The 12,606-nt window shown below is 36.2% G+C and overlaps 1 long non-coding RNA gene across 7 annotated transcripts in view; it reads left to right on the top strand.

The window, feature by feature from the left end:
* The window catches only part of LOC102723370 (uncharacterized), a 366,694-nt gene that overhangs the window by 214,139 nt on the left and 139,949 nt on the right, over positions 1–12,606 (top strand). For 2 of the 7 annotated variants that reach the window (XR_931111.3, XR_007062617.1), the window contains exon 3: positions 9,808–9,856. The exons of 4 other annotated variants lie outside the window; for them this stretch is intronic. This is a non-coding gene — a long non-coding RNA (uncharacterized LOC102723370). Of the gene's footprint in view, positions 1–8,635; positions 8,810–9,807; positions 9,857–12,606 lie in introns of those variants that run through there. One more of the 7 variants, XR_931115.3, reaches the window with a different exon arrangement.

Here is a 12,606-nt window from a genome sequence, read left to right on the forward strand (position 1 = left end):
TTTATCTCATAGATGAAAAGGACTAGGAAGCCCTTGCCATCATGCCATGTATTTTATTTACATGCTTCATCTCATATAAGCTTCATAATGATTTATGAGATAAACCATTTCTGTTATTCCCATAGTATATACAAGAGAAGTGGAGATTACAAGGGTTAAATAAATTTGTCAAAGGTCTTCCAGCAAGTGACTGAGCCTGAATCCCAAACCAGACCTTGCTTTGTATATAATTTACAAGTATTGATGGATGTAATGAAGCTGGATAATTGCTATGAAATATTATTTATGGATTTCCCTATTATGTTTTCAGTTTTTATATGTATCTTATCCCAGATCACAGCAACTGACTCCCCTTGAAAGTTAGAGAGCTCAAAACTGATTTATCAATACAACCACCTCATATGACCAGATTTTCACAGGGTCAAATCTGGTCCTTTTATTCTCAGAGTTCAAGTCTCAACATTAAAATGTATAGCATCAGTATAACCTACCCTGTAGAAAGCTCCCCAATATGTAGCAAGGCATGCTCCTTACCCCACACATCCTTACTGGCCAGAGGTTTCTAGAGGAGGAGATCCTATATGCAATGTTGGTCCACTATCTCTCCATTTTTCTATGGCTTAAGTAAAAGAAGATATTGACTTTGGGATGTCAGCTCAGAGACTGAACAAAGATGCCTCAGTGAATAGGAATATATGCTCTTAGCTGGGGAGTAAATGCCAGCTTTCACTTAAAATACATCCAGGGACCTTACTTCCAGCAAAAATCCCTTCCAAAATTGAGGCCCTAAGAGATCACTAGAGATATGTGAAAGACCTCTGTACTTGGTCCCACAACAGGCCAAGTTTGTATTAATTCTCAGGTGAAGACACATGAAACAGGTTTAACCTATTTTCAGATAGCCCAGAAATCAGTCAGTGGGGAGCCAAGAAAAGCTTTGAGGATGATAAAGTCATTTACTTTGTATTAACAGAAGTTAAGAAGTCCTTTTCTGGAATCTTTATTTGGAAGTCCTCAATGCCTCCCTAACCAAAATAAATCCTTCCCCCCGCCTCTTTTCTTCATAAGCCCCTGGTTACTGCACAGTATCCTCTATCCACAAATATGCCTGGCTAATTGATCCTCTTAATATTAGGGGGTGACTTTCTCAGATGATTTCTTCCTAACCTTTTTGGCTGCTTATAATCCTATTAGCAAGCTCCTATCATAGAACATTAATGTGGTTGTATCTGATTTAATTTTTAGCCAATACCCTACAAAATGCAGTAGCTTATTAGTGATTTTTATGTCATGTGGTTTTAGCAAAATTGAATGATAATGGGATGTGATTGGGTGGAAAATTATAGCAATAGGGTGCTTGGCTTCTATAATTGCAGCATAGGCTTTAGTTAGGAATGGGACTATCAGAATTTCTTTTACTTAAAAGTGATTTCTAAGGCATGGAAAAATCACTGTGTATTTACAATTTATCCAGTAGATGATTAAGTGGCTTTCACTGGTGGATAGTGAGACAGCCTTGCAAATCATAGAGACGATCAAGGAAAGCAGAGGGAAGATAACAGTGGCATTGTCTCATCTGAAGCTTCATTTATTTCTCTCCCCCATAAATGAAGTAGAAAGGGATATAGGATCATGGCAGTAATGGTGGTCTTATCTAAAATAAACTTATTAAATGAGACAGATTCTTTATTAACTAGTCAGGAGTCAAATGATTAAACAGCTTTTCTTGCCATTGAATTTCTAGCAGAAATCAATGTACATTATACAGTTGCAGCAGCTGAGATTGCAAAAGCCCAAGGACAGCGTAAAGACTGATTTACTGAAATATTTTATCAGCATAATGGTCAAGAGATGCAGTTCAGTTTGTCTGTGGAGTACAGCTTATCTTATTCATTGTTGTATGTGTTAGAAAAGCTACTTGCATAATCTTCCCAATTGTAATATTCCTGCTGCAAAACCATAACTGTTCCAACCGAAAAGAATTGTCCACATTCAGGATATTTTTAAGAATGAAAAATTGGTTTATGGGGACTTAAATATTGTCATTCAACTGTAGACAGTGCTACCCAATGGGTTTGGCATGGTTGACGACCAATGCGATGACAAAGGGTTGTTAGACACAATGCCAGGTGCTGGCTGTACCTCTGCACAACACGTAAGAGGCACAGAAAAGACTGCAGTTTATGCTCTTGCATAATTCAAACAACTCACTTGAGCTTGTATGCAAACTTTTTTTAATGCCTACAGCTTTTGGGAGTTTGTACAAATAATTGTCTTTCCAATCTAAAATTAAGAGAATGATGTAAAGTTTAAAAAGAAGAAAAAATATAAACTTAAAGTACAATGGTCAGCAGCTGAAGAATTTCCTTCTCCTTGATTATCAGTAAAGAAAGTTTATTTAATTACTTGTGAAATGTCTGCTTCTAAAAAGGATTTAAAGTGGCTTACAATAAAAGCCATATATAATCAAAAAACCACTTATCTAATACTATGTAATCAAACTAATCCAAGAGTTAATGGTATAAAATAACAAGCACTTTTTTCTGCTCACAATTCTGTGTGTCAGGACTTGGGAAACGAAACAGTAGGATGGTTTGCCCTTGCTCCACAATTTACTGGGGTGATTTGAACAACTGCAAATTTCTGGGATCATATATCTAGAGCCTCAGGTTGTATGGGTCTTCTCCATGCCACCCCTGCTAGGGATGGAATGCTCAGAGTGGCCCTTCAATTATGTCTTTGGTTCTGCTGGAATGACTAGGACAGCTGGGGCTCCTCAGGACTTTGATGGACTCTTCCCAGGCAGCTTCCTCACAGTATGTCATCTTGGGATAGTTGGGCTTAACATGGCAGCTAGTTGTCCCTCGTGATCCGAGATGCATGAGCAGAAGCTGGAAAACTTCTAAAGAATGAACCTCTGAAGTCCCAGAACCTTCCATGTGTATCCTCCATCACATTCTAGTGGTCAAACAGATCACTAAGGCAGCCTTGACTCAAAGGAGATAAATTAGACAGTACTTCTCAGTGGAAAAGAGTAGCCCCGAATATGCAGTCATCTTAATTTACACCACAGGCATAAGGTGATTAGTAATGATAATTTTAAAGTAAGAGGAGCTGTACCATTGAGGAGACAATTATCCTAGAAAAAGAGGTTAATGACACCTTCTACTATAAGCACAGAATTTAACCTTGAACTTCCTAGTGATCAAGGAAAAAGAAAAAGGAAGAACCAGCAACATAATGTTTATTATTTCAAAAAATTAGAGAAAGGTTTTTTCTCAATTATTTTCCAAAGACTAGAATAATAATCAGCAAATATAGAGCATGACATGTGTATTTTATACAGTTCCTTTCTTCCTAAATCTCCCTGTTTGTCTCAGTATCCCAGCCTACCTTTGTGGTGGTAGTCATTCTAGATAGGAAAGTTACTGCTTAGAATGCAGGCTGAGACTAAGAGGGGTGGAAGAAAGAAAGAGGAGAAATGAGGGTAAGCTGAGACAAACACAAAGAAAAAAAATAAATGAGCACAGAGAGAGAAAGAGAGGGAACAAGAGAGAGCAAGAGAGATAGTGAGACAGAGAGAGAACTAGGCAGACAGAGTTTGGCTTGCTCGAACTCAAATGTCTCTAGGACTTGTTTGGCAGGTACCTAAAATATCTGCAACACATGAAGCCAAAATGATAGAAAGAAGTGGATCCTCTGTCAAATGGAAATGTGCATGCCTCATCTAAAAGCACTGTTGTTTTTTATTATTGATTTAATGCCAAATATACCCATTTTTATGGCTGACTTTAGGCTGCTGCTGAATGTCAGGTTATATCGCTTGAATTTGCTTCTGTGGAGAAATTCTGAGCTCTGAGTATGAATAATTATACTGCTGGATTTTTCAGGTCCCTCTTGGTAGAGAGACCCTCCAGGATGGCATTGAGGGCTGATCATAGGGATTCACATAAGTGACCTCCTTCTGTTCTCAGCTACTGAGAAATAGGACCTATCATCTTCTGAAATACTCACTTTGGAAAAAATAAGAGGAGAATTATTATTGCCCATAAGGGATAAAATAATGAACTAAATGAAGCTAGTGCCAAATACTCTTGCTGATCCAGAGCCTTAGAACTGAGAAATGCATCAATGTATTTTGTAATGCAAGCTACCACCATGCCATTTACCTCTGATTGTTACCTTTTGGACATCTAATGTACTAAAAAACAAAAAATGACCATGATGTGTTCTTTACTAATAGAAATACAAGCAATGTTAGCACTCCTCAAATTCTGACCAAAGGGTTATTTTCCTTTTCTTCCTCCTCCTCCTTTTAATGGGCTATCATTAGAACCAATAAATACTCAGAAAAGTGTCATAGCTTCTTGTTTACTTTCTTTTAAAAAATGTGTATATTTAAGGTATACAACATTGTTTTGATATGCATATACATAGCGAAATAATTACTACAGCTAAGCAAATTAACGTTTCATCACGTTCCATAGTTACCGTGTGTGGGTGTGTGTGTGTGTGTGTGTGTGTGTGTGTGTGCGTGTGTGTGTGGTAAAAAGCACCTGAAATCTACTCTCAGCAAATTTTCAGTGCACAAAACAATATTATTAACTACAGTCCTCATCCTATACATTAGATCTCTAGATTTATTTATTCTACCTGACTGCAATTTGTACTTTTTGATCTATTTCTCCTTGCCTCCCACTTCCTGCCTTTGGTAACCAACATTCTACTCTGTTTCTATGTATTTGACTTTTGTAAAATATTACATGTATAAATGATATCATGCAGTATTCTTTTTCTGTGTTTGGCTTATTTGACTTAGCATAATGTCCTCCAGGTTCATTCAGTTGTTGCAAATGGCAGTATCTCCTTTTTAAGGGCTGAATAATATTTCTTTATACATTAATCTGTTGAGGTTTACTTACATTGTTTCTATATCTTGGTTATTGTGAATATGCTACAATGAATATAGAAGTGCAGCTGTCTCTTCAACATACTTACTTCATATTCTTTGGATATATACCCAATAGTAGACTTGCTGGATTAAATGCCGATTCTATATGGTAGTTCTAGCTTTAATTTTTTGAGAGACCTACATACTATTTTCTATAATGTTTTACCAGTTCATATTCTCATCCACAGTGTACAAGCGTTCTTTTTTCTCTTCACCTTCACCAACACTTATCTTTTTGATAAAAGCCATTCTAAAAGATATGAGGTGACATCTCATTGTAGTTTTGATTTGCATTTTTCTGATGGTTAGTAATGTTGTGCACCTACATCATAATCTGTAGAAGAACACTGAAAGTGCTTTCTCTAAAATCTGAACAAGTACAAGGTACAAGGCAAGGATGCCTATTGTCAACACTTTTATTCAACATAGTTCTAGAAGTTCTAGCCAGAGTAGTCAGAAAATAAATAAATAAATAAATAGCATACAAATCAGAAAGGAATAAGTAAATTTATTTGTCTGCAGATGCCATAATTCTATATATCTAGGAGCTTAAAGCCTCCACCAAAAACAAAACAAAACAAAAACCTGTTAGAACTAACAACTGCATTAAGTAAAGAAACAGCATACAAAATCAACATATAAAAATCAGTTGCATTTCTTTATATAAGGATCTTTCTGAAAAATAAATCAAAGAAACAATCTTATTTACAATGGCATCAAAAATTAAAATATTGAGAAATAAATTTAACCAAGATCTTCACAAACAAAACTATAAAATATTGATGAAAAACACTGAATAAGACACAAACAAATGGAAAGACATCCTGTGTTCATGGATTATAAGAATTAATATTGTTAAAATGTCTGTATTATCCAAAGCCATATACAGATTCAACACAATCCTTACCAAAATTTCAGGGGCATTTTTCATAGAAACAGGAAAAACAAATCTAAAATTCGTTTGGAACCACAAAAAAACCCAAATGGCCAAAACAACCTTGAGAAAGAAAAACAAAGTTGGAGGCAACACCCTGCCTGATGTTAAATTATATTACAAAGTTATAGTAATCAAAATAGTATGGTACTGGTATACAAACAGAAACATAGGCCAATGGAACAGAATAGAGAGCCCAGAAATAAACCCAAGCATATAAAGTCAACTAATTTTCAATAAGGCCATAAAGAAGAAACGGTGAGGAAAGGATAGTCCCTTCAGTAAATTATGCTGGTACTCTTTCTTTTTAATCAAAAATATTTTTTCTTAAAAAGTACACTTTTTAATAAAAATAAAACATGCTCCTTTCTATTGCCACAGTTTCTCTCTTCCTTTTTTACAATTATGTGGCAGAGGCTGACAGTGTTTCTAATTTTCTGAACTCCCCTTAGGTAATACATGTTTGTTTTCTAGCAGAGTATATGGCAACCCAATTTTTCTTTTGCTAGTCTCTTCAAATTTAATTATTTTGTTTTTTCCAGTTGTGAGGGAGTCAAACCTGGACATGCTTTATATCTATACCCCCATGGCTCTCCCTGCAGTGTGCCATGTGACAATGTGCTCTTTCCATCATAATGCATCACTTCAATTTAGACCTCACTTTATGTCCAAAGCAGATTTTTTTCAAAGACTGAAGCTGCAGTTCCTTTGATGCCTAAATTAAATGTTAACTAATAGTCAATTTTTCAGATTCCACTCAGGCTATACGAAGTTGGGAAAGAGTCCAGATACCTAGTGGGTCATTTTGAAACAAGTAACTCAAATGTCAATAGATACTAGCCTTTGCTGAGATATGCAAAGTTCATCTGAGTTTCCCCAAATGATGTAGATTCTAAATAGTTTCGATCCTTAATGTTTTCTTTGCTGGTCAGTTTTCTCTGATTCATTGATTGGGAAAAATTAGGTAAGATACAAGAAATTGGACCTCTTTAGATTGGGGTTGATTATCATGAATAAATAATTTGAACTTTCTAGTAAAATGGCCCTGATGGTTTCCATTCATGTATTTGCCAATTAGTTATCTGTATTCCATAAGAAAAAAGGTTTTAGTTCCTATTAACACATTTTACCATTCAGTTTTAATTGCAGTCATAGACATTTGTACTCTAATGTAACAGAACAAAAGATATCATGAAAAAATGAGTTCTATGGGAAAGAGAAAAAAATCATTTCATCTTAGACAAGGAAAATGTATTACAAGTGGGAGCATTCTAAATCCTTAGGTTTCATGAGTATTCCATTTTTCTTGTTAATAGACAGCTGTGCTTTTTATGAACTTCTAAGAGTTGACCAACTTTAGTCAGAGTTGGAGTTATTAAAGGCTGAGGACAGAAGACATAGACTCTCTCCAAAGTGGGCATTTGCAGTGTGGAATTACAGTAAGCGTTCTCATCAACCTTTAGATTGACATTCGCAGTAATGGAATTTATTGTCATTCACTCCCTGCCACAAAGAGTCTAGAATTAAAAGGTCTTGTCCTTCATTGTTAAATACTGATAATTTTCCCCCCTTCAGAATCTTTTGTGAAGCTCTTGCTGGTCCAACTGATACTATTTTTCTTCTAATGAAAAATTTCTTTCCTCTGTAATTCATTTTAAAGGGACCCCAGCAAGTACCCAAACAGGCAACACCTATGTGTAACCAGGCAGAGAGAATGGACCAGAGAAGGGACCCTTTTTAAATGAGGTTATAGGGATGGATAAACGCAGGGGACCCCAAGCAATTGTATATCTCAGGGAATCATGGGATTATATGGTCACTTAAAGTGGAAGTTTAGTAGAGTCTTAGAAGACTCACCAAGTCCTAACAGGTGAAAGACAGAAGCCAAGGTATACCTTAAGACAGTATTGACAAGGAGACAAGAGGCTTCTGGAGTCTGGGATTGCACTGAAGAAAGGGAGTGGAAACTGCAGTCCCCACGTTATGAGACTTTGGTAAGATTTCTGAAAGCTTTGTTACTTCAAATTTTTTTTTGTTATTTTTATTACCACTGTTGGTGTACCTGAGTGAGAAAACTTATTAAAGGGGAAGAACTTGGGTACCCTGCATCTTCCCACAGCTAGACTTGAAAGGATTTAATCTCTAAAGGAAAGAGTGTTAGTGGCTGCTGGAAGAATGAGAATGAGAACATAAACAAGCTGAGTCATTTGTGCTCACAAAGAATAGGCTGGTGGATGTGAGCTGAGCAACAGACCAAGAAGTTTGACACTCACAAAGTCCTTGTGGTCTCTCTACGTCTATAACTCACTAACACAATTACAAGCACCGTGTCCATTTTAATGAAAAAATTAGGGCCATTGGAAGAATAATAGTTTAGCAGAATTAATATTTTACATGATTAATTAAATATTATTTTATCTTTAAACCAACATTCTCACAGCATTGGTCTCATAAGAGTAAATGAGGTGTCATTTGTATCTATTATTTTTGAAATGTCTATTTTGCAAAATTTTAAGAGTGAGGCATGATTTTGGAAGGAAAGATGCTTTCATTAATGGCTTAGATTTCTGACATTGCTTATAAGTAAGAATTATTTGAGAGGTCCTAACAAATAATAATAATTAAGAATTAAAAGAAGCTTTATTTGAAAGAAAACACTGATTCATGCTATGGTTTCCTCTTTGTATATAACCCAAAGATTACAGGGTACTAAATATCACTTGAGAGATGAATATACCCGAAATAGCAAATAGGCACTAATTATGTAAATATATTTTTTAGCAAGAGAAACACGTTTTTGTGGATTTATTAATCCTAGGAAAAGAGAAGAAAAAGCCATTATAGGGGGAAAATAACGAGAAAAAGAGAGAGCGACCAGGAGAAGATATTGAAAAAGCACTGAAGCTCAAGCACAGATTTACTAGGTATCAGATGAACCAGTGATTAGGCTTATCATAAGACCAAAAAATACCTGCCTACTAGTTCTTGTGTTACTTAATATTATCTTATTAAAAATATTTTTGGGGTATTCTCTTAACTTATTGGTATTAGTGAAGCAGGGTGTTTCCCCTATCTCTTCATGAAACTCACAGCAGGAGTACCTCGTTTACTCAGCCCGCTGCTCTCAACTACTTGCGGGAGGGAGTGCATAAGTGAACGAACCAGGACCTGGAGTTCATGAGTGCTAGAACCGGCTGGCCTGGCCACTCTGTCACCCGCGGCATCAAATTCTCTGATGTCCAGCCATAGTCTTTGATGTCCACCTGCTTCTCCCCTCTGCTGGCTGAGCCTGGGGTCTTTATAAGGCACAGGATGGGGTGAGTCAGGGCCATGGGTGGTTTACGAAAAGGCAGCATTCCAGTGGGAAAACATGGATATAAGTTCTCACTTTGGGCCCCATCTCAGGCTTTTTGGCTTGAGAGTGGAATTTCGCCAGGGACCCACCCCTCTCTGCCTAGAATTATTCTGCCTCCTGTTGCTATCAGTAGTATAATTTGGTAAAACCATTCTTGAGGGCATTTGGCAAAATATACACAAAGCCTTAAAACCCAGCATATTTTGTTCACTCTAATTCTTTTTTCCTGGAGAAACATGCACACCACATAAGCATGTTTCCTAATGTGAATAAATGAAAGTGACCTAAAATTCTGATGATAGAAAATTAGATAAATAATCTATAATATATTCAGAAGATTGAATACTCTGTAGCTATTAAATAAAGGTTATAGAAGATTAATTATATGGGAAAAATTATCATAATAAATTAAATAAATGAGGTAGCTATTTCATAGTGCTAGAGCTCACAGCACTAGAAAAGTGTGAAGAATCTAAAAGTCGTATATAATGCACTGGAAGGAAGAAATACAACTTTGCTGAAGGATGCCTGAAAATATTGATTGTGTGTTTCACTGATTTCTACTAGGTCAGAAGGAAACTACTTGCTCAAAAGGAGACCAGAGGAATGAAAATGTGTAAGACTTTGATTTGTTCATTCATTATTCATTTACTTATTCATCTATTCATTCAGCCATCACTTTTCAAATGCCTACCACACGCCAAGCACTGGGCTAGATACAAAGTATGACTGAAGAGTGAGGAGTGATGAAACTAGATAAGCACAAAGAAATGGCTCAAGAAGATTCTCTACACGCCTTGTACCTGATTTGGGGTAATATTTCGGGCAACGAGGAGTCATTGATGAATTTTTGGTAGGGAAATGACAAGGTTAGATTTTTACATTAGACCATCTTGGCAGCAGTTGGGAGGATGGACCATAGGAGGAGAGGACTAAAGTATGTAGTGATTAGGCTTTTGGGGTAGTAAAGTGAGCACCAGGGAGGCCTGGAACCAAGGCAGTTGCCCAGGATATAGAAACAAGGGCAAATATTCAAAAGATACTTAGGAATTATAATTCAACATAGAGACTAATTGTTTATACAGTGCACAGGAATGGACACAGTTTTTGATACATCTTGGGTTTTTAATTTGGATGGAGAACAGAAGAGTTTGGCAAAATATTTTGAATAGCACTCTATGGCACTTCATACTTTTTTAGTATCTCTATATACATATATGTGCTTAGATACAAACTCTATCATAGGAGCTTTTTCAATACAGAAAAGCTGGTTTTAATCCTCTACTATGGACGTTTTTTTGTTGTTCACCTCACTCTCTATGGCTTCCTTTGATAAAGTCAGACATTTGCCACTGAAGTTTAAACTTCTAAAATTTCTGATGGAAATGTAGAATGAGATAATAAAAATGAACATTCATGGAGCACTGACAATGTACCCAGGTCTAGGCTAAGTATTTTACACATATTATACAATTTATTTATTACAACAACATTAGGTAGGCATGCTCACTTTACAGATGAGAAAATGAAGCTCTGAGAAATGACCACTTGCCCAAAATTATACAACTAGTAAGTTGCTCAGCCAGAATTTGAACCAAGGTTTTCACTTTTAAACTTATATCCTCTAAACTCTATCAATTACCATCTGAAATTTCAGACATTCTTAGAAACCATATCTTTCCGTAGGCATTATGGATGAGTTTTGGTGATTTGAGTGGCAGTGTGATCTGATGGCAAGATCATTGAACTGAGGGTTGAGAGTCTAAATTCCTAGTTTGAGCCAGACAACACATTTTTTTATGTGTGTGACCTTGACTAAGTTACTTAACAGCTCTGGGTTTCATTTCCTTCATTTTAAAAATAAGCAGATTGAATTAGGAGTCACTTCCAAGCTGTTATTGTATTTGTAACTTGAGAAATTTGAAATTTCTCTTTTCGCCCACATAGGACAGGGTTTCAAAGCCAAATATAGTTCTATATACTAATGGAATTTGCTTATTTCAAATGCAGAAAAGCTACATTCTGATCAGTTTTGAGTATCAGTTTTCTCATCTGTAAAATGGAATAATATTAATACATAGCAGTGTTACTGTGAAGATTGAATACAAAATTATAATCCTAAGTGGTTTTCACTAGTTCAGTCATCAGAAAACTAAAACAACAAATAAAAATGTCTGTGTTGGCCAGGTGCGGTGGCTCACGCCTGTAATCCTAGCACTTTGGGAGGCTGAGGCAGATGGATCACCTGAGGTCAGGAGTTCGAGACCAGCCTGGCCAACATGGTGAAACTCCATCTCTACTAAAAATACAAAAAGTTATCCAGGTGTGGTGGCAGGAGCCTGTAATCCCAGCTACTCGAGAGGCTGAGGAAGGAGAATCGCTTGAACCGAGGAGGCAGGGGTTGCAGTGAACTGAGATTGTGCCACTGCACTCCAGCCTGGATGACAGAGCAAGAACTCAGTCTCAAAAAAAAAAAAAAAAAGTCTGTGTATATTTATCTGTATCTGGTCTACATAAATATTATTAGATTAAAAAATGAAGTAAGAAGTAATTTGATAAAATTCATTATTCCCCTAGGCCTCTAAGACTTCAAATAATAAGGGGAAATAAGCAAAGTTAGAATTTTTCTATTGTTCTGATTTACATCAGGATTCAGGAATTATTTACAATTAACTTTCTATACTTGTCCCTTATTGATCACTTGATGCATATGCTTTTCTGGAATTGGATTGTTATCCAAGCATGGCAAATTAAACTTCCGATTTAACAATTAAAACCATCAGGCTGACGAATGAGACAGTGAGGCTGATTTATTCTGGGTTAGATTCTGGCTCCCAGGCATAAATGAGACTTTCTTTGTTTTCAAGAGAAGCCTAGCAGGCTGGCTCAGGTGGCACAAGCCTGTTACTGATCTCGACCTATCACAGTCTGCAGGCATCTCCAATGAACGAATGATGATCCTAACGGTATTCAGAAACAAGTCACTTATGATGATGCCAAAGTCATTCTCCCTTCATGGCCATTAAAGACTGGTTTATTACTCAGAAAAATTAACTATCTGGAATAAGCTTTTAATTGGCCTCTCAATAGATATATAGAGAGATTAGATGGATTTTATAAATTAGTCTTTAGGTTTCTCTTTGGACTACTCATACTAAGTGAAACCTTCTATTAAAATACACATACAGTCCTTTAATTACATGAGAGGATTATGTTACAAAACACATACCTTTGGAATCAGACAGATGTGGGATCAAATTTTCGATTCAAGATTTACTAGTAGTTATATGCCTTGTGTATTAGTCCCTGCTTACACTGCTGTAAAGACATATCTGAGACTGGGTAATTTAAAATAAAGAGGCTTAA

The sequence above is a fragment of the Homo sapiens genome, chromosome 11, assembly GCF_000001405.40.
Source record: "Homo sapiens chromosome 11, GRCh38.p14 Primary Assembly".
NCBI lineage: Eukaryota > Metazoa > Chordata > Mammalia > Primates > Hominidae > Homo > Homo sapiens.